This window comes from Homo sapiens, chromosome 18 (assembly GCF_000001405.40).
Source record: "Homo sapiens chromosome 18, GRCh38.p14 Primary Assembly".
Classification (NCBI taxonomy): Eukaryota; Metazoa; Chordata; class Mammalia; order Primates; family Hominidae; genus Homo; species Homo sapiens.
In genome coordinates, this window is record NC_000018.10 from 49,280,156 (window position 1) to 49,304,895 (window position 24,740).

Sequence of the window (24,740 nt, forward strand, 5' to 3'; positions counted from 1 at the left end):
ACTTTGCCCCTTATAGAAACACTGATGTTTGCACATTAGTCATAAAGGAAATCAATTATTGCTTACAGGAGTTTTTGTCTATGAACAAAAATTTGAGAACTAATTTCACTCATGTAGTGATGGATAGTGTAATTTAAGTGATATCTGACAAAGGTACCTTAAAATGACTATGAGACTCCAGGGAGTGAGTTCAGACAGTCCTAAAGCCTAAGCCTGCCAGAGTGGGTGGGATATTTGGGCAGCTGAGTTGAAACATCATTTTCCTTTCAGCATTCTCATCAGGAATATTCTGCAACTGTGACGAGTAACATGAACTTGGTGGGCGGGTACTTAGCAGATGGCAGCGACCGAGATGATTTAAAAATCTCCTTGAGATTTTTGGAAGACCTGAACAGGCTGAATCCTGGGCAACGTGTGGCTGTTAAAGACTATAAGGACAGGGAGGGATGCTGTCAAGCCAGCCAGGGACGCTGCGGTGTCCTGCTCTGGGAGGCCACCTCCACATGAGCTGTGTCTTATGCTGGAGAAGCTCCTACCCTCCGTCTGTGTCTGGTGACATCTCCCTATCAATTCTTGACCATCACCTTTGTGGCAACCAGGCAAATAAATTTGCCCTCTTGGGAAAAGAAGTTTTTCTCCAAAATATTATAAAATACAAACACATGGAATGTTAGACCTAAAACCATAAAAACCCTAGAAGAAAACCTAGGCAATACCATTCAGGACATAGGCATAGGCAAGGACTTCATGTCTAAAACACCAAAAGCAATGGCAACAAAAGCCAAAATTGACAAATGGGATCTAATTAAACTAAAGAGCTTCTGCACAGCAAAAGAAACTACCATCGGAGTGAACAGGCAACCTACAGAATGGGAGAAAATTTTTGCAATCTACTCATCTGACAAAGGGCTAATATCCAGAATCTGCAATGAACTCCAACAAAGTTACAAGAAAAAAACAAACAACCCCATCAAAAAGTGGGAGAAGGATATGAACAGACACTTCTCAAAAGAAGACATTTATGCAGCCAAAAGACACATGAAAAAATGCTCATCATCACTGGCCATCAGAGAAATGCAAATCAAAACCTCAATGAGATACCATCTCACACCAGTTAGAGTGGTGATCATTAAACAGTCAGGAAACAACAGGTGCTGGAGAGGATGTGGAGAAATAGGAACACTTTTACACTGTTGGTGGGACTGTAAACTAGTTCAACCATTGTGGAAGTCAGTGTGGCAATTCCTCAGGGATCTAGAACTAGAAATACCATTTGACCCAGCCATCCCATTACTGGGTATAGACCCAAAGGATTATAAATCATGCTGCTATAAAGACACATGCACACGCATGTTTATGGCAGTACTATTCACAACAGCAAAGACTTGGAACCAAGCCAAATGTCCAACAATGATAGACTGGATTAAGAAAATGTGGCACATATACACCATGGAATACTATGCAGCCATAAAAAAGGATGGGTTCGTGTCCTTTGTAGGGACATGGATGAAGCTGGAAACCATCATTCTCAGCGAACTATCCCAAGGACAAAAAACCAGACACTGCATGTTCTCACTCATAGGTGGGAACTGAACAATGAGAATACATGGACACAGGAAGGGGAACATCACACACTGGGGCCTGTTGTGGAGTGGGGGCAGGGGGAAGGGATAGCATTTGGCGATATACCTAATGTTAAATGACGAGTTCCTGGGTGCAGCACACCAACATGGCACATGTATACATATGTAACTAACCTGCACGCTGTGCCATGTACCCTAAAACTTAAAGTATAATTAAAAAAAAATACAAACGCATGGAATGTTTAGTATGATACTTACAAGATTTTCCATATCTGTGCGAGCCAACATGTATGTTCTAATATTACTATTTTGATGGAGCAAGGTATACAAGAGGAGAGTTGCTTGATCAGATGTCTGCTGTTCACAAAGAGCTGTGTACAAACTATTAAAGTTGATCTGGAAGGCATGTGGAATTGATGAGGGGAAAGGACTGCTATCTGGAATACAGAAAACAGCACATCAGTAATTTCTAGCTGTGCTTTATATAAATAAAAATATTGTTAAAGTAATGTGTACAACTCAATTCCCATTAATTTTATGGAAAGTCACTACATTTCAGATTCAAAATTTTAATTTATGTAAAATTTACTTTAGGGCCAGGCATGGCGGCTCACGCCTGTAATCCCAGCACTTTGGGAGGCCGAGACAGGTGGATCATGAGGTCAGAAGTTTGAGACCAGGCTGACCAACATGGTGAAACCCCATCTCTACTAAAAATACAGAAATTAGCCAGGCATGGTGGCGTGGGCCTGTAATCCCAGCTACTCAGGAGGCTATAGCAGGAGAATCGCTTGAACCTGGGAGGTGGAGGTTGCAGTGAGCCGAGCTCACGCCACTGCACTTCAGCCTGGGCGAGAGTGAGACTCTGTCTAAAACAAAACAAAACAAAAATTTTACTTTAAAAAGAACTAAACAAAGTCATATACTTTGACTTTGTTACTATTTTCCCATTAACATAGCTGAAATAAATCAGCTATAAGAACATGAACTTAAATAAACAGAATTATGAGCTAGGCAAAAGGCCCACCAATCAATACAACTTAACCAGGACGTTGAGATAAAATACTTTGTTACCAAAACTAAATAACCATGAGTCCTAAATAAAAAATATCTACAGAAAAAGATATAATTTCTACACAAAATAGAAAATTCTCTTTTAAGATAGAATTAAAAAGAAAAAAACTGCCTTTAAATAAATTGTGGCTGAAGCATCCACTTATATCAAAATCAGTATAGACGTTCCTCAACTTAACAATGGAGTCATATTCCCATAAATTAATCATAAGTTGAAAATATTCTAAGTTGAAAATGCATTTAATACACCTAACTTACCAAACAACATAGTGTAGTCTAGCCTAGCCTAAGCTATTATATTTGTGTACAGTTCTAAATTGTATCAATCCAACTGTAACAGTAGGCCTATTTTACAACAAAGTGTTGAATATCTCATGTAATTTATCAAATACAGTACTGAATTTATATTGTTTTTGCACATCATAAAGTCAAAAAATCCTAAGTCCAGCCATTGCAGGTTGGGGGCCATCTGCGTATATTCAACATTAGGTTCTATAATCAAAAGAGCACACCAAGCTTGAGACAACTACCAGAAAACTTCTATAACTTTTTTTAAAATAAAATAAAATATAATCTCCAATGCAAACCTAATTGACTATAACTGTTAAGAAACTTTTTTTTTTTTTAAAGTACAGTCACTGGAACAATGAAAAGAACAAATCACAGCCTGTATTAGGAAAAGTTCTTGATATTCCAATCTGACACAGCCCCTTTCCAACAGTTAACTGGATTTGCTGAGAAACTGAAGCAACCAAGGTTAGGAAGCAACAAAGAAGATAAAGATAAGTTCAATGGACTCAGAGAAAGTCATCATCCAATCAAATAAAACTCTGAACATGGTAGCACAAAGAGCTAATATTTTTACGTTCTAAAAAGCACCAAATTATTTTTAAGCCTTTAAAACACAGAAGCACTACCAAAACAAAACAACTTGCTTTAACATTTCTAAAAGCTGTGCTCTTATGGAAAAAGAGATGTGTTCCAACACAATCCTTGCCTCTCAGATTCTCCTTCCTAAGCTTTACATTTGTGAGGGGAATGCACCAAAATGCCTTCAGGTTTACTATCCAGTGCCCTCACTTTTCCTTCCACATTTGAAATATAGACTATTTTTTCAATACTAACACTGTATTTTTGACACTTACAAAAATAATTCCTTTTTTTTGTGGTTGGCTTTATATTTTTGCAAGGGATGGCAAAAGGAAGTGTTGCCATGTGCTGTGAGTATGCAGATATTATGGAATCTACAGAATGTTCACTGGAGGAAGATTCTAGACACACTACACTTCTTTAAAATTGAAGGAAAGTAACAAATTCACCAACCTGTATTATACCTGACTGCAAAGGGAATATGTGGGTTGTGTATATGTATCCACAACATATATACATTACTAGCTAATAAATGCTATGAACCAGCTGTTATACTAAACACTTTGTTTGTGTTATCCCTTATTTAACCCATACATCAAACATGTCATTATTCTGATCAGCTTTACATGGAATGTAATAAATGTTTAAAGGGATTAAGTAACTTTGCCAAGATCAGCCCTGATGGATATGAATACCCTTAAGCCAACATTTTGCTTCATTGTACTACATGGTCTCCCAAACCATGACCATCCCAAGCAAAGTTCAGCCCTAAATACCAACATTTGGCCTGAGCAACAAGAGTAACATAGTAGATACCATATACTGAATACCTGCTTTGTTGCAAAATCTGGGCTAATCATTTTAAAGACTTACCTTGCTTGGTCTTTATACAAATACTATTAGGTGATATTATCTCTATTTTATAGGCCAAGCTTTTGAAGCTAATTGAGATTAAGCAAACTGTCAAAGGTCTCACACTCTGAAGCGATAGAGGTATGGTGTGAAGCCAGGTATGCTTGACTCTGAAACTTGCTTTCTTAACCATTAAGCCATACTGTCACCAAGAAGAGTAAGTAATGGGAACAGAAAAATACTAACAGATACACCAGTTTTCGTTTTTTAATTTGTAAAATTGTTATTAATTCCCTATTGTCCTGTGTTATAGTTTGCCTGTATCCTCTCCAAAATTCATGTTGAAATTTAATCTCCAATGAAATAAAGTTGAGAGGTAGGGCCTTTACAGTGTGATTAGGTCCTAAGGGCCCATCTCTCATCAATAGGATGAAGGCCTTCATAAAAGAGGGCCCACATAGCATTCAGCCCTTTTAGCCCTTGACTCCCTTCTGCCATGTGAAGACACAGCTAGAAGGATCCATCTTGGAAGCAGAGACTGAGCCCTCACCAGACACCAAACCTGCCGGTGCCTGCATCTTAGATTGACTTCCCAGCCTTCAGAACTGTGAGAAATAGATTTCTGTTCTTTATAAGTTATTGAGTCTCAGGTATTTTGTTAGAGCAGCACAAATGGACAAAGACACACTGCAAATAATACCAGAATTGGCAGAGGCGCAATTAATGGGCACATTTAGCCACGTCTATAAGAAATGTGTATCAGAATAACCCGGAAGAATCATGGCACAGCCCATCAGAAGGCTTACAAATGCTCCCATCCAATCACTGTACTTCCCACCCATCTTCATTACATTAGTGTTCAAAATGTCTTGAGCATCTGGTCATGCACTGCATAATAACGTTTCAGTCAGTGATAAACCACATATTCAAAGTGATTCCATGTGATTATAATACCACGTTTTTATTGTACCTTTTCTAGGTTTAGACTGCTTAGATACACAAATACTTACCACTGTGTTACAACTGACTACAGCATTCAGTACATCATCATGTTGAATAGGTCTGTTGGCTAGGAGCAATAGGCTACACCACATAGCCTAGTTGTGTAGTAGCTACGCCATCTAGGTTTGTCTAAGTACACTATGATATTCACACAGCGACAAAATTGCCTAATGGAACACAGCCCTGCTGTTGAGCAGCACTTGACTATACTACAGGAATCTTGCTTTTAGAATGTAACCTTTTGAGAAGAGATAATACTGGTTCAACATGAAGCCATATGCTCACCTTCTACTTTAGGAGTTATTAATACCAAGTTACACAGCTCATGGGCAGCCTGCCCCTTGTCTGGAAGTAAAGATTTACTGGAGCACAGCCATCTAACTTGTTTACATAGTACCTATGGCTGCTTTGATGGAAAAACGGCAAGGCTAACAGACTGCAGGAGAGACCATGTGACTCCACAAAGCCACTACCCTCTACAGAAAAAGGTTTTCTGATTTGTGTTCTAATCTTTTTTTTTTGTTTTTGAGACCTAATTTTTAGTTCTATAAAACTCTAGAACACAGACTTTAACTGAAAATTTAAAACAACCTAGCATTTGGGTTTTCCAGGTTAATTCCTATCCCTAACAGGTAGTACAGACTGACCCAAATTAAACACATGCTGGTTGGTTGTCCATGAAAGAAATATGGATTTAAACAGATATAAAGGATCAGATATAAAGGATGCTTGACCTTCCTGATAATATTGACAGGAAAAGCTAAAGTTTTTCTCATGTTTGACCAATATGAAAACATACAATGGACACTCATCTCCAAAACTATAAGACAATAAACAATATAGAACAAGCAATACTCTCCCCATTACAAAGAATATTAGAGAAAAAATACCACAAACCTTGTGTGTTCTTGAAGGACATAATGGCTTGTCTGTAGGGGTTTGGCGCATCTGAGGCATCTGTCAGATTGGCCAACACCAGCAGAAGCAGGAGACTCTGGTTGGCCAGAGGGGAAGAAAGCTCTGGAGAGGCAGCCGCTTTGCTGCCCACACCACCTAGTGTGAAGACAGTCCAGAGTCCTGCTGGGGAGGAAAACACCCTGTTAGGATGTGCTGCCACCAATGAGATGAATGTATTTCTGTAAAGTATTCTGTGTAATATAATACAATATGGTAATGAGCAGTTCCAAAGTGTAGAACAAGAATCATGTCTATACATTTCACAAGGCCAGAAAATCCTTGCTATAAAAACTGGACAAAGATTGACTGTATTTACAACAAAATAGAGAAATAGAGATTTTTATGATTAGGTAACCTAAATTTTGTAAAAAAGTGAATGAAATTTAGTAGAAAAATTTGCTAAAAAAAATTAATGCAAGCCGGGTGCAGTGGCACACACCTGTAATCCCAGCACTTTGAGAGGCCAAGGCAGGTGGACCAAGAGGTCAGGACTTCGAGACCAGCCTAACCAACATGGTGAAACCCCATCTCTACTAAAAATATAAAAAATAGCCAGGTGTGATGGCAGGCGCCTGTAGTCCCAGCTACTTGGCTGAGGCAAAAGAATAGCTTGAACCTGGGAAGCAGAGGTTGCAGTGAGCTGAGATCATGCCACTCCACTCCAGGCTGGGCAACAGAGTGAGACTCATCTCAAAAAATAATAATAATAATAAATGCATTATGATCAAGAGGCTTTGTTTCTAAAGTACAAGAATTGTTCACCATTTTAAAAGTATTATTTCTATTTTTTAAAATAAAAAATATGGTCATCTCGAGAGTTTCCACATTTTCATATATATATTTAAATATATATATATTTTAAACTTAAAATTAGTTTCTGATTTAAAGAAAAATTCTTACAAACTAGAAAGGGAAGGAAACCTCTAGCCAAAAATTCATAGTGGTCAAACATTGTAAGTATTCCCATTAATATCATCAACATCAGCATGGTACTACTAATGCCCAAGCAAAAACATTAAGACAAAAGAAAAAAAGACCAAAAAAATTTTAGAGAAAAAATTTCATTATTTGCAAGCAATATTCTGGTCCACTTAGAAATGCGCTGTCCAGGCCTGGCACGGTGGCTCACGCCTGTAATCCCAACACTTTGGGAGGCCTGACCAACATGGAGAAACCCTGTCTCTACTAAAAATACAAAAAAATTAGCCAGGCGTGGTGGCGGGCACCTGTAATCCCAGCTACTCGGGAGGCTGAGGCAGGAGAATTGCTTGAACCCAGGAAGCAGAGGTTGCGGTGAGCTGAGATCGCGCCACAACAAGAGCGAAACTCCGTCTCAAAAAAAAAAAAAAAAAAAAAAAATGCACTGTCCAGTACAGTGGCCACTAGCCACTTGTGGTTACTGAGCATTTAAAGTGAGTCTACTGTAGCTCAAATTACACTGTGCTATAAGTGTAAAATACACATGAAAATTTGAAGACTTAATACCAAAAAAAGAATGTAAATTATCTCACTAATATTTTATGCTAAATACATGTTGAAATAATATTTTAGATACACTAGTATTAAAATTACTTTCACCTGTTTCTTTTTACTTTTTGAACATGACCACTAGAAAATTTAAAATTACATACATGGCTTCTATTATATTTCTATTGGACAGAGTTAATTGTTCTAGAATATCAAAGAGAGCCACCTGATACTCCATTACTGACACACTATAACTAATAGAAGATTTTGGTGCAGTACTATGGCTATATGGTCAACACCACCAACAACAATAAAAATTAAAAGCTTTACATACAATCAATAAATAATTAGAAAATATATTTAATTCCAATCAAAATAGCAACAAATCCAATAAAATATTCAGGAATAAACCTAAAATAGAGATGATCTTTAGGCTGACAACCATAGAATTTGAAGACCATATGAGATCTGAATTAATGTAAAGGCATAACATGTTTCTGGACAAAAAGAGTCAATACTATAAAATGTCAAATCTAGGCTGGGTATAGGGGCTCATGCCTGTAATCCCAGCACTTTGGGAGGCTAAGGCAGATGGATCAACTGAGGTCAGGAGTTCGAGACCAGCCTGGACAACATGGTGAAACCCCGTCTCTACTAAAAATACAAAAATTAGCCAGGTGTGGTGGTACATGCCTGATACTCCCAGCTACTTGGGAGGCTGAGGCGGGAGAATCTCTTGAACCCGAGAGGCAGAGGTTGCAGTGAGCCGAGATCATGCCACTGCACTCCAGCCTGGGCGACAGAGTAAGACTCTGTCTCAAAAAAAAACAAAAAACAAAACAAAAACAAAAAAAAGTCAAATGTCTCTAAGTAAATCTAAAATTCAGTATAATAACCATCAAAATACCAACAAGACTTTATGTGATATTTTGTAATACAGTGTAAATAAAACATTTCTACATGAAAAAAATACATAAGAAAACAATTCTGAGACCGACCTAGGGAAGTATACAACCATTCACATAGTACAATTTGTATAAAGCTATAGTCATGTAAAAGTGTGATTTGGCAGCAGAGGAGACAAATAGGTCAACAGAAGAGAAATTAGGTCAGCACAGAGCTACATGTATTTGATAATTAAGATTATGATAAAGGTAGTGTGCCAGATCAGTAAGAAAAGGATAAAATTCTGTTAAGTGTTCTTGGGACAGTGAAATTTTGTTAGTATTTAATTATAGAAGCATATGTATAAACCTTGAGTCAGGGAAGCCCTTTTCTTATGTAAGAAACAACATTCAAGAATACATGAAGAATATTCATTTGACCATTTAAAAATTAAATACTTTTACATGATAAAACACATCACAAAGACAAGTAACATATGAAGAAGCAACATTCGTAACATGCATAACAAAAGGATTTTTTTAAAAATCTACAAATCAGTAAAAAAAAAAAAAAAAAAAAAAAAAAAAGTAATCCAAAATTAAAATGGGCAATAAAGGAGGCTGAGGCAGGAGGACTGCTTCAGCCCAGAAGTTGAAGACCAGCCTGGGCAACACAGTGAGACCTTGTCTCTACAAATAATAATAATTAAAAAAGAAATAGCCGGGCATGGTGGTTCATGCTTGTAGTCCCAGCTACTCATGAGGCTGAAGCAGGAGGATCACTTGAGCCCAGGAGGTTGAGGCTACAGTAAGCTGTGACTGTGCCACTGCACTCCAACCCAGGCAACAGAATAAGCCCCTATCTCAAATATATATATATGTGTATATATATATATATATATATATATATATATATATATATATATATACACATATATATATATACACACATATATATATATATACACATATATATTTATTTATATATTTTAAACGGACAACGGAAGTCTAAACAATAATTTTTAAAAATGTAATGATGATGAGATGACCCATGAGACTAGAACATTTTTAAAAGACTGATAACACTGATAAGACTCAGTAGTATCAGTAAAGGTATAGGAAATTATCAGTAGTAAGAGATCCAAGTGTTACAGGACTTTTTAAAGTACATTTGGCAGTTTTCATTGAAAATAAAATGCACATACTCATGAGCCCAGCAATTCTTTTTTTTTTTCTATACCAAGGAATACTTGAATAGGCACACAAAAGAGCATGTATAGGAATGTTTACTGTAATATTGTTTATAATGGTCCAATAATGTAAACAACATATAAATGCTCACCAGTAACAATGGTGACATAAACTATGGTTAAACTATACCATGGAATACAATATAAGGATGTAGATGTCTATGTACCAACAAGGAAATACCGTTAAGTGAAAAAAACAAGTTGCAGAAAAACTGATGTAACAATTTAAAAAATCACTTACCAAACCATATATGTATCCATATGTACATATTTAAAAAAAAAACAAGAAGGACAAAGTATACATCACACTGCAAACAGAGATTATCTCTAGAGGATGAAGTGGGATTGCATGGAATTCAAGGAATTCAAGGAAGACTTTTGTTTTACTTGTATAGTTTAATTTTTCCCCAGTAATAATATATTTATTTCTTTAAAAATAAATGTAAAAGAATAAAATTAAAATAACAGAAAAATATAGATCCCATTAGTATGTAGAATATGGGAAAATCTCATCAGAAATCACTAAGTGAAAAAGGCCATTCACAAACTACATATATATAGATATATATGTATATATATGCATGCTCCATTTGTTTTAAGAACTTGCAAATACACATATCTATGCATGTAAGTCCATCTACAGGTCCCTGGCAGGGTCCACTGTAGACAGTGGTCATTCGTCATGGAGCAGAGTGGGAGTGAAGGTGGCTTCAGGAGAGTCTCAGACTTTGTTCAGTGTAGTATTACTCTATTGCTTGACTCTTCTACAACAGAGACGTATTCAAGCATAATAAGCAATTAAAAATAATAAGGAAGGGAAGGAGGAAAATTCCTGGTCACCAACTCCCCCAAAAATGTGATGCAAATACTTTGGAACTAGGACAAAGCCCTGTAATTTTTACTTTAACAACAAAACAGAAAACCTCCTGATAATTTTGGAGGGAAAAATCATCAACATGTTAGCTCTGATTATATCGAGGACCATGGCAATAGATGTGATATTTAACTTTAATCTTTGCATATACATATTTTTTATTACTTATTATAATGGGCAGGTGTCCTTTTTACAAAAACACTTATTAAATGAATTAAGTGCTTCTGTAAATAAATTATAAGCAATGTATAACAAAACAAGCAACTGAAACGTTTTGTTTCTGCCGAACTAACACAGGCAGATACTTTTTATTTCTACTTTACATTGTAAACAGTTCAGTGTGAACATCTGTTCATTTCTAATATTTTGTACTTTTTACTGAACACACAAAATAAAGTATCTTATGAATAGCCTAAATATGTAATTTCCTACACAATTGTGAGCCTACAAATATCAAGCTTTTTAAATGATTACTGAAATGGTTTTACTACTAACTTTTAAGGAGCTGTTATGGGGGAAGGGGGGAAATAGTCCCCATCCCTAAATTTCGAGGTCCTCAAAAAAGAGTATACTGGGAACCTCAAACTGCAAATCTGGTATAAATTTTCAGTATAGGTATAAGCAAACTCGAGGATCAGCAAGAAGAGGTTTTTCTGTTTTGTTTTTTAATACAGGAAGGATTTTAAGATGACTGGGGAACACAGGAAAGTTTCTGTTAAATAATGTGCTCCCTCCATTTCATAAGGAAAATCTGAATTAAAATTGTCAATAATTGGTAATTATAGACCACAAATTTAAGTTTATTCAAAACAATCCTCATGACATAGTTGAAGAACTTGAGACATTTAATAAGAAAATCAAAATTATTAAGAAGGTACAGCCAGTAGCCAAGTATTAATTATTTGCTTTGGGATTGATTTGTGTTGTTTATTTGTATCATTTTAAAACATTTAAAGCCATTTTCTTCCACTCAGAGTATGCTCCATGACAGTCAGCTCCAATATCCATCACTGTGTGTTCCAGGATTCAGAGCAATGAGAAACACAATTACAAAGTTCAATCTGCAACAAAAATAATCACAACATGGTCCCCAAGGTCAAATAGAAGTGTTTTTTGGATCCTCTTCACAGTTGCTCATCTTTATTGCTAGTAGAAATGAGTTGACTACTACTGAATAAATTGCACAAACAAAATTCTGATTCCCTTTCAACACAGATTCACTCTCCTTTCTTCAAGATTTTCCAAGAGGGCTGAGAAGCTGCTTCTAATGTCAGATAAACTAACATTTTATTGGGAAGCTTCTCCATCTTTCCCTGAATCCACCAACACAGACAGACAGACAGACAGGCAGGCAGGCAGGCAGGCAGGCAGACAGACAGACAGACAGACACACACACACACACACACACACACACACACACACACACACACACAGAGCCCTCCTTCCTTTTTCTGGTAAACAGTACTGCAGGGAGAGATGAAGCAGCCTGTCACTGCCTACATTACAGTTTAAACTGGCCCATAATACTGGACAAAGATTCTTCCAAAAGTTCCTTTCTCTTTGCTGGTCCAAGCCTCTGATCTATGACCTAAGAATCTTAGTGGAATTGCATTTTCCTGTTGGAAAAAAAAAAAAAAAAAAAAAAAAAAAAAAAAACCCCCACAAAAACCTGTCCACCAGAAAAATAAGGAAAGTTACAAAATATTTCCTTGTGTTCCAAAAACCAAATTCAGGATGGTTCCCAAAGTTTCTTAATTGTATCCCTTGGGTCTTCCAAACTAACTCCTAAAATCCATCTAACTAAAAACTAAAAACTAAAATTAACTAAAAGAACAAATCTGGTGTTGACAAGTTTTTTGTCTTATTATTATTATACTTTAAGTTATGGGATACATGTACAGAAGGTACAGGTTTGTTACATAGGTATACACGTGCCATGGTGGTTTGCTGCACCCATCAACCTGCCATCTACATTAGGTATTTCTCCTAATGCTATCCCCTCCTCTAGCCCCTTACCCACCGACAGGCCCTAATGTGTGATGTTCCCTGCCCTGTGTCCATGTGTTCTCATTGCTCAGCTCCCACTTATTAGTGAGATCATGAAGTGTTTGGTTTTCTGTTCCTGTGTTAATTTGCTGAGAATGATGGTTTCCAGCTTCATCCATGTCCCTGCAAAGGACATGAATTCATCTTTTTTATGGCTGCATAGTATTCCATGGTATATATGTGCCACAATTTGTTTATCCAGTCTATCACTGATGGGCATTTGGGTTGGTTCCAAGTCTTTTCTATGTGAATAGTGCTGCAGTAAACATATGTGTGCATGTGTCTTTATAGTAGAATAATTTATAATCCTTTGGGTGTGTATACCCAGTAATGGGATTGCTGCGTCAAATGGTATTTCTGGTTCTAGATCCTTGAGGAATCACCACACTGTCTTCCACAATGGCTGAACTAATTTACACTCCCACCAACAGTATAAAAGCATTCCTATTTCTCCACATCCTCTCCAGCATCTGTTGTTTCCTGACTTTTTAATGATCACCATTCTAAGTGGCATGAGATGGTATCTCATTGTGGTTTTGATTTGCATTTCTCTAATGACCAGTGATGATGAGCTTTCATATGTTTGTTGGCTGCATAAATATCTTCTTTTGAGAAGTGTCTGTTCATATCCTCCCACTTTTTGATGGGGTTGTTTGCTTTTTTTCTTGTAAATTTAAGTTCTTGTAGATTCTGGATATTAGCCTTCTGTCAGTGGATAGATTGCAAAAATTTTCTCCCATTCTGTAGGTTGCCTGTTCACTTTGATGATAGTTTCTTTTGCTGTGCAGAAGCTCTTTAGTGTAATTAGATCCCATTTGTCAATTTTGGCTTTTGTTGTCATTGCTTTTGATGTTTTAGTCATGGAATCTTTGCCCATGCCTATGTCCTGAATGGTATTGCCTAGGTTTTCTTCTAGGGTTTTTATGATTTTAGGTCTTACATTTAGCTCTTTAATCCATCTTGAGTTAATTTTTGTATAAGGTGTAAGGAAGGGGTCCAGTTTCAGTTTTCTGCACATGGTTAGCCAGTTTTCCCAACACCACTGATTAAATAGGGAATCCTTTCCCTGTTGCTTGTTTGTGTCAGGTTTGTCAAAGATCAGATGGCTGTAAATGTGTGGTGTTATTTCTGAGGCCTCTGTTCTGTTCCATTGGTCCATGTATCTGTTTTGGTACCAGTACCATGCTGTTTTGGTTACTGTAGTCTTATAGTATAGTTTGAAGTCAGGTAGCATGATGCCTCCAGCTTTGTTCTTTTTGCTCAGGATTGTCTTGGCTATACAGGCTCTTTTTTGGTTCCATATGAAATTTAAAGCAGTTTTTTCTAATTCTGTGAAGAAAGTCAATGGTAGCTTGATGGGGATGGCATTGAAACTATAAATTACTTTGGGCAGTACAGCCATTTTCACAATATTGATTCTTTCTATCCATGAGCATGGAATGTTTTTCCATTTGTTCATGTCTTCTCTTATTTCCTTGATCAGTGGTTGACAATTCAAGTTTTTTAAAGAAGTACTGACTGAAGACTACTTATCCTTAACATTCAAAATGTGAAGAGGACATAAAGTATGAAACATCAATAAAAATAATAATCAAGGAAAAAATAAACCTCATTTTTAAAAAATGAACTCAAATGCTTGATAAATTTATCAAGATTGAATGAAATAGAGGTAAGTTACTGCTTTTTCATATTAAACATGCTACTTGCTAAACTATAAATGATTTCTTACATCTAACAAACATATTACAAAACACTATTCAATCAGAACTATACCAAAAAAAAAGATACTATGCACTGTCAGCCACAGTTACAAAAATCTCCTAAAAGGGGCATATCATATATTTTAAAACTGTAATACTGATACAAACCATATACCATGAAAGAATTAAGGAGAAGGCAGGTCAGATAGCAGAGATGTATAAAAATTCTGCTAGAGATGTTCAGTCAACATCTATAAAAGGCTAACGGTCAATAGACACGTAATGAGTTCCTGTTAGGGTCAGGTCCCATGCTAGGAACCAAAAATACAAAGAAGAAACACTCTTCCTTTGGGGAAAGTAATGAGGATACAAGCATTAAAACGACTGCATATAAACTGATTTTTACTTCCATCATGACCCAACAAATACATCTAAATCTTAAAACACCCATGCTTTTCCTACATAAGTATAGTAAAATAATAAGGAAAGAAAGTTTCACCAAAAAAGTTATTGAACATGCATTTCAGGACAAACACTGTGGCAGAGCTACTTGACCTCCATACCATGCTCCCTTTCTTCTTTTTGATAAAAATAAAATTTTAAAACTTTAGATTTAGCTGGGTAGGACTACATTTCCCAGTCTTTCTTGAAGCAACAAAATATGTCTGCATGACTAAATTCCAACAAATGGGATATGAACGGGAGCAGCACATGCAACTTTCAGGTCATATCCTTAAAAGGAAGCTATTTTCTCCTCACATCCTTATCCTTGCCATTGGCTAGAACCCAGGCATAGTGTTGGGAGCCAAACCATGTATGAGGACACTGCAGGAGGAATGGTAAAACAAGATTGGAGGAACTTTGGTCCCTGGATAACCTCAGAAAGCAAGCCTGCCTCTAGACTAGTTTAGACTTCCATGTGAGAGAAATATAAGCCTTCTCTCTTGTTTAAACTACTGGTGTCTGGTCTCTACTAAAAGCCAAACCGATATCCTAACTAATGCAGGTATGTATTATAAAATTCCAGAATATTATTGCTTTTTAAAAAAATTCTTGGCTCATCACAATTTTTTAAGCTTGTTATTTCAAGATAATTGTAGATTTACATGCTTTGCTAAAAAAAAAAATACACAGGTATTCCATGTGCACTTTACCCAGCTTCCTCTAATGGTAGTATCTTTTAAAACCAAAACCGTTCTTATTTATTTATTTATTTATTTATTTTGAGACAGAGTTTCACTCTGTTTCCCAGGCTGGAGTGCAGTGGCGTGATCTCGCTAACTGCAACTTCCACCTCCTGGATTCAAGCAATTCTCCTGCCTCAGCCTTCTGAGTAGCTGGGATTAGTAGTGGGTGGCAGGTGCCACCACACCCAGCTAATTTTTGTATTTTTAGTAGAGACAGGGTTTTGCCATGGTGGCCAGGATGGTCTCAAACTCCTGGCCTCAGGTGATCTGCCCACCTCAGCCTCCCAACGTGCTAGGATTACAGGCACGAGCCACCCAAAACCATACTATTTCTAGCTAGAAGCATTCATATGGAAAAAAATATTTGTCTGATGATCAGTTAATTTCTTCAAAGTTGATTTCTTTCAAGGGTCCTGACCAATCTATACTTTACCACAGAGGAAGCTTGCTGTGCCCAAATGTGTATTTGCTGCCTATGTACTTGTATACATTCATTTCATCATTTATTAAGGGCCTGCTATGGATTGAGCAAAGTACAAAAAACTGGATTAGACATGATGTACCAAAAAGACACTAATGCCCTACCCACGCAGCTTCAGTCTAAAGGAGAAACTAACATGAAACAGAGACAGATAAATAAACTGCAGTCAGTTTGTCGGGGGGAATAAGAAAAGTTACCTAAATGTCATGACTATTGGTGGGGGGAAATAGTTCAGAGATCTATCAATGACTAGAACTGACCATTGGTTGATGGACTTTTTACTAAATGTTTAGATTCAACCAAGAATGCCATTCTATTTCCTACCTTTTTAAAATTTTCTCTCATTTCTCTCTTTTTTCCTTGCTTAGAAAATTCTTCAAGGTCCAAGTCACAGTCATTTGTTCTAATACAAAGCAAAAAATAACTATTCTTTCCTCTCTTCTCTCATAGCACACTGGCTATATCTCCTATGATCATCTGCACCACTGTCTGACTTGGATTATACTTATGTGTATTATATATACACAAGTCTTCCTGTAGACTCCTTGAAGAGAAAGAGCTGTCTCTTTTTCACATTCTATAAATCTTGGAGGGCTCCAACTTATAAACTTAATTTATTCCTTCACAAAGTACTTACTGAAGGATGTTTTTAAAGTGTACAAGTAATAAGAATTTTATATTTGCTATTTAAAGGAAAAGGATGTTATCTTCAAAGTTCTAAATATAGGTGTCAATTGGCTTTAATCCTATATTTTAAGTTGTAATACTTTAACACTGATGAGGGCACTAGGAGATGGGTACTTTCAGACACTAGTGGTAGGATGAAGTATAAATATATACTGTACTTAAATTATTTAATAGAATGAAATTAGTTGTCATAAAAATGAACAAACTATGCTTCATGCAGAAATGTGGATGAATTTCACAAATAAACGAAGTAAAACACAAAAGAATACATCAATATAAAGTTCAAAACCATGCAAGACTAACCTAGCGTATTAGAAGTTGGGATAGTGATATCCTCAGTGGTTGGGAAGGCAGAGTGAAGATGAGAGTATTGGAGAGAGGGTTCTGGAGTGCTGGAATTATTTCACCTGACTGAACACATTCACTTTATAATAATTACTTGAGCCACATGCTAATTATGCACTTTTCTATATGTTACACTTAAATAAAAAGTTTACCATTAAGAAAAAGAAAAACACTGTATGTATCCCTTTTTGTAAAATGATTATGATAATAATGATAATGGGTATATATCATGCTTCAAGTGCTTATGTTTTTATGTTGGGTGATTTTTTTTCCTCATCAAAATACTTTGATTTCTAAAATGAACACACAACAAAAGAAACAATAAAATTTAATTAGAAAAAAATTAATAGAATAGCCTTAGAACAACAATGTTTCCTAAAACAAACAGTGTTGGTGTAATCAGAAAAAAAAAAGCATACTTGATGTTGCATCTTTATTAAAGGGCATAATCCTCAAGTATCACTTTTTCTATTTAATCAACATATATATTAAGAAAACACAGTCTCCAACACCTATTTTTGCCAGCCTAAAAATGCATGTAAAACAGTAACATACACAACCTTGAATGACAGCCAATCATGTTATAATGCTAGGAAAGGGGAAAAAAGGGTCACTAATAGTTTCACCTTTTTACATGTATTTACACTTAAAGCACTCTTGAAATATCTGGTGACTGCTAGTTCCTAAAACAGATTTGAGTCAAATTCAATTTTCCTAACACAAAACACGATATTACTAACCCATCCTGTCTCCCAAAAGGAATGCTTTGACCATCTCAAGAAAGAAAAAAAACACATGGGCGAACAAAGAAAAATGTTTTTTAAAACTCATAGCACAGTAAAACTTTTTATCCACCTTTGTAGTTTCAAATTTGTCAGAAGTGGCTGGGTGCGGTGGCTCATACTTGTAATCCCAGTACCTTGGGAGGCCAAGGCAGGTGGATTACCTGAGGTCAGGAGTTCAGGACCAGCCTGGCCAACATGGTGAAACCCCGTCTCTACTAAAAAATACAAAAATTAGCCAGGCCTGGTGGCGGGCACCTGTAATCCCAGCTACTCAGGAGGCTGAGACAGGAGAATTGCTTGAACCTGGGAGGCAAAGGTTGCAGTAAGCTGAGATTGCACCATTGCACTCCAGCCTGGGTGACAAGAGCGAAACTCCGTCTCAAAAAAAAAAAAAAAATTCTGTCAGAATCTCTCTGACTTATAATCTGGCATAATATATGTCATATGGAAGTTTTTTTTAAGTTTAATTCCTTGAAGAATAGAAAATAGAACTGTTTCCAAAAAGTTGAAAAAAATCCACTGAAATATTTCAGTAATTATGAAGATCGATTCCTGTTTACTTGTTTTCTAAAATGAACAACCATGAAAGGTACTAGAATTCAACTGTCTCAGTAAAACTCTTGGTTCACATATCCCTACAATAAACATTTATGAGAAACTTAGATGACGCAGGTAGTATTTTAAAATGTGAAGCATAAAAGGAAACAAAATAAATGTAAAAGCCTTGTGCCCTCAGAGATAAATCCTATCTCACCCACATATGCAAAAAGAATAAACAAATTAACTATGATCCATGAAACAGGAAAGGGTGCTGTGAGCTCAGAGGGGCAGACAACCCTTCCTTTAAACAAGTCTGAGTCCGGTTCCCAGAAACTTCATTCCATATGTCCCAATGTCATCCCCTAAAGCAGTGTTTCCCAAAATGGTACACGGATCAATGATGATGGTGTAAGCAGAGGAAAACTTTTTAAAAAAATCTTTAATAGTTATGTATATTAGACATATATAACTAGCACATCAATCTCAGAAGATCAAGGACTTTCCCACATAGTACAAGAATAAAGTAAATAATAAGCTTACAATTTTGAAAAAGTAAGTCATTCTAAAGTGAACTAAGTAAACTGGAATTCAAGTTGTACTCATATAAGACAAAATCGTGGCAGTGGCATGGATGTGGCTAAAGTTTTGGAAATATTACCCTTTAGGAAAACAGACAAGTCTTTAAGCATCTGATAGTGTATACCACCACCAGAGACTCCTTCTTCAAACAAAACAAGCCCTGTTCCTAAAACAGTTCCTTTACGATATACAGACTTTAACCTTGCAACACCCTGTCCACCCTCCACTACTAAACAACCCTGACATGCATACCCATCTTTCCTGCTAAACTGTGGGTTCCCTGAGAGAGGGCCTTCCCTCCTTCACCATGGTTTGATTCCTTTGTACTCCTAGGATCTAGCACAATCTTTTGTATTACATTAAATAGGAAAACAATGAGAATTATTTAAATTTTGCATTTTTACAGATGATTTTTTACATTTTATATAAAAATATTCATATGGTCCGGACACGGTGGCTCACGCCTGTAATCCCAGCACTTTGGGAGGCTGAGGAGGGCAGGTCATGAGGTCAGGAGATCAACACCATCCTGGCTAACACGGTGAAACCCCGTCTCTACTGAAAATACAAAAAATTAGCTGGGCGTGGTGGCAGGCACCTGTAGTCCCAGCTACTCGGGAGGCTGAAGCAGGAGAATGGCATAAACCCGGGAGATGGAGCTTGCAGTGAGCCGAGATCGTGCCACTGCACTCCAGCCTGGTGATAGAGTGAGACTCCGTCTCGAGAAAAAAAAAAAAAGCTATATATATAAATATATATATATATAAATATATATATAAATATATAAATACATAAATATATACATATTTGTATGAAATTCTTTCTCCATATAAAAATCAAGATTGAAGCCTGAATTATGTATGAGATTTTATCAGAAACAATCAACAATAATATATATTTTGACATACTCAAAAACATAAATAATAAACTTAACGTTAACAATATAGTAACCAAAAAGAATCAATTTGGAAACTACAAATAAAAGTTTTTACATAGTAGGCCGGGTGCCATGGCTCACTCCTGTAATCCTAGCACTCTGGGAGGCTGAGGTGGGCCGGTTCCCTGAGCTCAGGAGTTTGAGACCAGCCTGGGCAACATAGTGAAACCTCATCTCTACTAAAACACTAAAAATTAGCCAGGCATGGTGGCGCATGCCTGTAGTCCCAGCTACTTGAGAGGCTGACACAGGAGAACTGCTTGAACCTGGGAAGCGGAAATTAGAGTAAGTTGATGTTCGTGCCACTGCACTCAAGCCTGGACAATAGAGCAAGACTCAGTCTCCAAAAAAAAAAAGGTTTCTACATAGTAAAATCTTAGGCTAACTGCTTATATTGCAAAAACTCAAGTGAACTTGAGTTCTACTTGTGAAGCAGTAAATATAAACCGAATTACAGCAGATGTAATAAAGTACATTGTATAGATATATTCCTACCTGTGGTGAGTCATGTTTTCCATATAGGTCTCTGGCTGTTAGTTTTTCTGGGAATTAAGGATTGGTTCTGTGCAATATCATCATGGGCCAAAAGTAAAGGAATCCTTGAGTAACTACTACTCCCTAGTTGAAAGTAATATTCAAGGAAAGATAGAAAGAGTTTCTTCCCCAAACTCTTATTTTGATTTTACTGATAATACCAAGAAGAAAGCCTGAGTTATGGAGCACGGTGCCTCAAACCTTAAAGTTAGCAATAGTAAAGTCATCAACCTAAGGAGAGGAATAAGATGGGAGTTCTGGAAGCACTGGAAAACTAAAATCTTTGAAAGAAAGGGACACATGTAAGTATTTGAAAAAGAAGATTTCAAATTAATAAATCAAGGGGTCTTCATTCTAATATGGGGTCTTTATTATGGGGGTTTCCATGTATGCATGTTAAATAAATGTGTATGCCTTTACTCCTTAAAAAGAATTAAGAAGGTTCCTGGGCCGGGCGTGGTGGCTCACGCCTGTAATCCCAGCATTTTGGGAGGCCGAGGCTGGCAGATCACGAGCTCAGGAGATCGAGACCATCCTGGCCAACATGGTGAAACCCCGTCTCTACTAAAAATACAAAAAAATTAGCCAGGGATGGTGGTGGGCGCCTACAGTCCCAGCTACTCGGGAGGCTGAGACAGGAGAATGGCATGAACCCGGGAGGCGGAGCTAGCAGCAAGCTGAGATTGCACCACTGCGCTCCAGCCTGGGTGACAGAGTGAGACTCCGTCTCAGAAAAAAAAAAAAAAAAAAGGTTCCCAAGACATAAGTAATCCAGAAAAGAAAGTTACATGTAGTAAATGTGAAATATGCAAATAGGAGTGATAGGAATGATCTGAAAGTATTTATGAAATTGAAAAACTATCCCCAAAGCATTCAATTCATTTCAACAAGCAGTTAATAAGCATACACTAACACTAGTAGTCTCCAAAGCTGGTGAGGAAAGAAAATATTAGAGCTTTGTTTTTCATCTCAGAAATATGCAGCAGCTAAGCTTCAGCAGTATGCATAATCCAGCCTGATAGTGGCACCTGCACTTGGTCTATCTGTCAGGAAGTCACAGTCATGTGTGGTGCCCTAGGTATTCTGAGAGAAGAGTGCAGCCCTGCCATGCAACAGGAGTGACAGGCACCCTCTCCTTCCTTCTCTCTCACAAAATAAGACACATGGTGGTTCAGTGTGCATAATCCTACCACTTAGGTTTAACTAAACTGATTCTCATAAAATTCCATTTAAAAATAATGGAATCATAAAACTATTTTAAAACTTGCGTGCAAAGAAATTCCAGATGAAATCATTAATGATCCGAGTACAAGCCAATGACAATGATACAAAAAAAGCTCTGTTAGCCATTTTTTGTGAGCTAAGAACAAAGACAATATTAATCAGATCTCTGAAGAAAACTGCTCTTCTATCCATTACCAAGACTCTCTGAAATACAGATTTACATCCACCATTATTAACAATGAACATGGCTCTAAATAGATACTGTTCCTTGCAACATTAAACAATGATACCATTAAGCCATCATGATTAGCAAAGCATTTTATAAAACTTATTCAGATGATTATTAATATTTTTCCAATATAAAAGATTTTCTTACTGTGAAAACACAATTTTAAAATGCTTTAAAAATTTTACTTAATTTTATCCTTGGAAAAATGTCAATCTGTAGATGTCATAATTAATATAACTATGCATTATATAATTTCTAAATCAATTAACCTAAATCAGGGGTGCTGCTTTAAAAGGTTATATTGATGAGATATGTGATCCATAAAGTTTAAAGTCCATCATACTCAAGGAACTGTTGAAGGCGGAGGTGGGGGGACGAGTGAAAGAAGAGAAGTAAGGGGGAAGGAAAACAGTAGCTTCTGCTATTTAATGATGATCCACACAAATTACTACATTGAAATCTCACTAGCATTTTTATTCACCCAATTTTACCCATAAAGAATTAAAGCTCAAAGGAGTTAAGTCCCTTACTCACATAACAGAATGCTACGCAGATTTGCATCCATGCTGTTCCAACTCTAAAACTGATGCTCTCAACCACCAGGCCATGCCTCTCCTACTCCAAAACCATAAAGGGAGCCCCTCATCCTGGCTGAAAATAATACAAGTTTAGAATCTGCCATAGAACAGAACTTCAGCACCTGGGATTTAACAGGCCTAAATTCAATCTATTTGTTCTAGAGAATAGCATTTTGTGGTTTTCAGTGAGTCTAGCTCCAAATTATCTTCCCAGACTTCTCTCCCACTCCTTCATCCTCATCCACAGAACCCCATATCCAAAAGGAAACAGTTGCTAGTCCAAAAAGATGCAATTCTGTGGTTTTTGTGTTTGCTTGTTTTGATTTGTTGCCTCTTCTGCCATCTGTTCATCTTGGTATCACATCTGCATTTCCTGATTTCTCCTGAGGGACAATCTCTCTTAGGCATTTTGCCCCTTTCTTTATGGTTCATTCCTTCAACAAGCATTCACTAAACTGTCTCTTTGCAGGCCTGCTCAAATTCCTCAAAGAATAAATTGTTGTCACTACATTTAAGGTGCCCATGATTTTAAAGAAGAAAACGAGCAGGAATGTCATTCTAATACTGTATAATGAGAGGTTTACAAAGTCCTGTGGGAACACAGATGATGAAGTCTGCTAGGGAACTCCAGGAGAGCTTTCAAAAGAAGGCTGCCTATGACCTGGAGTGTGCTGGAGAGAGACAGATCTGCAAGTGGAGAGGAGGAAGGCATTTCAGTGTATGGAATGATTAAAAGCTGGTCAGGTGTGACCCTTTGGTGCACGTGGCCCTTTGGCTGGAGCTGTGCAGTGAGGTAAGGCTGAAAAGAGAGGGCAGGCTCTGAGGTACCCACATGACAGTGCTTCCCACAGGATGTTCCACTGCCCAATTCTGAAGGACCACAGACAGGCCAAAAGTTCAAGTGCTTTCCTATATTCATACAAATGAATGGCATAAAGTATGTATCTTTCATTTTCATTTTTACTACTATGATTAATACCAACTTAATATTAATTTACTAAATGAATTATGGGATATTGCATTTGGTTTTCATATACATGGGGGGAAAATTACTAGCATTTACAGGACATCCTAACTAAGTCTCCTACAAAACAGTCTGGCTGCTATGCATGCAGTGCTTGTTTGTGCTGCAGAGCTCCTCATGCACATACATGCACACACAGACACACCACAGGTGTCTGGAATTCCTGCAGTTTGGAAGAAAGATGTTCTGTTACTGATGCATTTGGCTTTATATTGGTCATAGTCTTCAACTGATGCACGCTAGCTTTTTCAATTATAAGTTTCTATTAACTTCAAAATGGTCAAAGATGGTTTTAGGTTCCCTGGTTAACCCTACACAATACAGAGATGCATGGACTGTTAAGACCATAGTCTGCCAACATCCTTCCCCTGCCAGGATATAAGGAACCAGCAGGATATAAAAGAGGCTCCCACAGCTCTCAACCCTTCAAGTAGGACACCCACTTCCCTGGCCAGGAGGCCAACAGCCTTAACCCAACAAATTGTCAACGGCTAGAATCAGAACTCATTACCTACCTTCCCCTAAAACACCAACATTATCATATTATGCTTTATATCCCTGTTCATTGCCCACAGCTCTCTTCATCCCAGCCCTTCCACTGAGCCTTCTGGAGCACACATTTTCATTAGGAAAAAACCTTCTATATTGTCAACCTCAGCCTCCTTGAATACCCTTGATCTAACAGAAACCTGGGTGTCCCCTGAGGACAGCTCTTTCTCAGAAGGCTTTTCAAATGGTGACCTCTTAGTTCTCTCTCCACAAGCCACGTACCATGGAGATGACTCTTCATTACTGCTTCCAAGTCATTTCTCCTCAAACATCCCAGCTACCTTGAAATAGCCCATCAGACTACTCCATCCATCAACGTTTCTTGCTCGAGTCATCTGCAGACATCACCATCACTCCTGCTCATTTTCTGATAATCTGAGCACCTAGCTCACTGTCTTTCCCTCCACACTACTCCCGTGCTCATTTTGTAAATTTCTACGTCCCTGCAGACAAGGCACCCAACAACACAGCCTCTAAGTCCTTGATCTGCTTGCACTTCCT

The 24,740-nt window shown here is 37.2% G+C and overlaps 1 protein-coding gene across 41 annotated transcripts in view; it reads right to left on the reverse strand.

Annotated features, from left to right (window-relative positions):
* DYM (dymeclin) overlaps nucleotides 1-24,740 on the reverse strand; it is a 424,259-nt gene that overhangs the window by 243,769 nt on the left and 155,750 nt on the right. For 28 of the 41 annotated variants that reach the window (XM_047437556.1, NM_001353211.3, XM_047437554.1 and 25 more), the window contains 2 exons: nucleotides 6,279-6,461; nucleotides 1,842-2,020 (listed from right to left, as the gene is read on the reverse strand). In XM_047437556.1, coding sequence (XP_047293512.1) covers nucleotides 1,842-2,020; nucleotides 6,279-6,461 — 362 coding nt within the window. The remainder of the gene's footprint in view (nucleotides 1-1,841; nucleotides 2,021-6,278; nucleotides 6,462-24,740) is intronic. The other 13 variants (NM_001374439.1, XM_047437559.1, XM_047437553.1 and 10 more) reach the window with 2 other exon arrangements.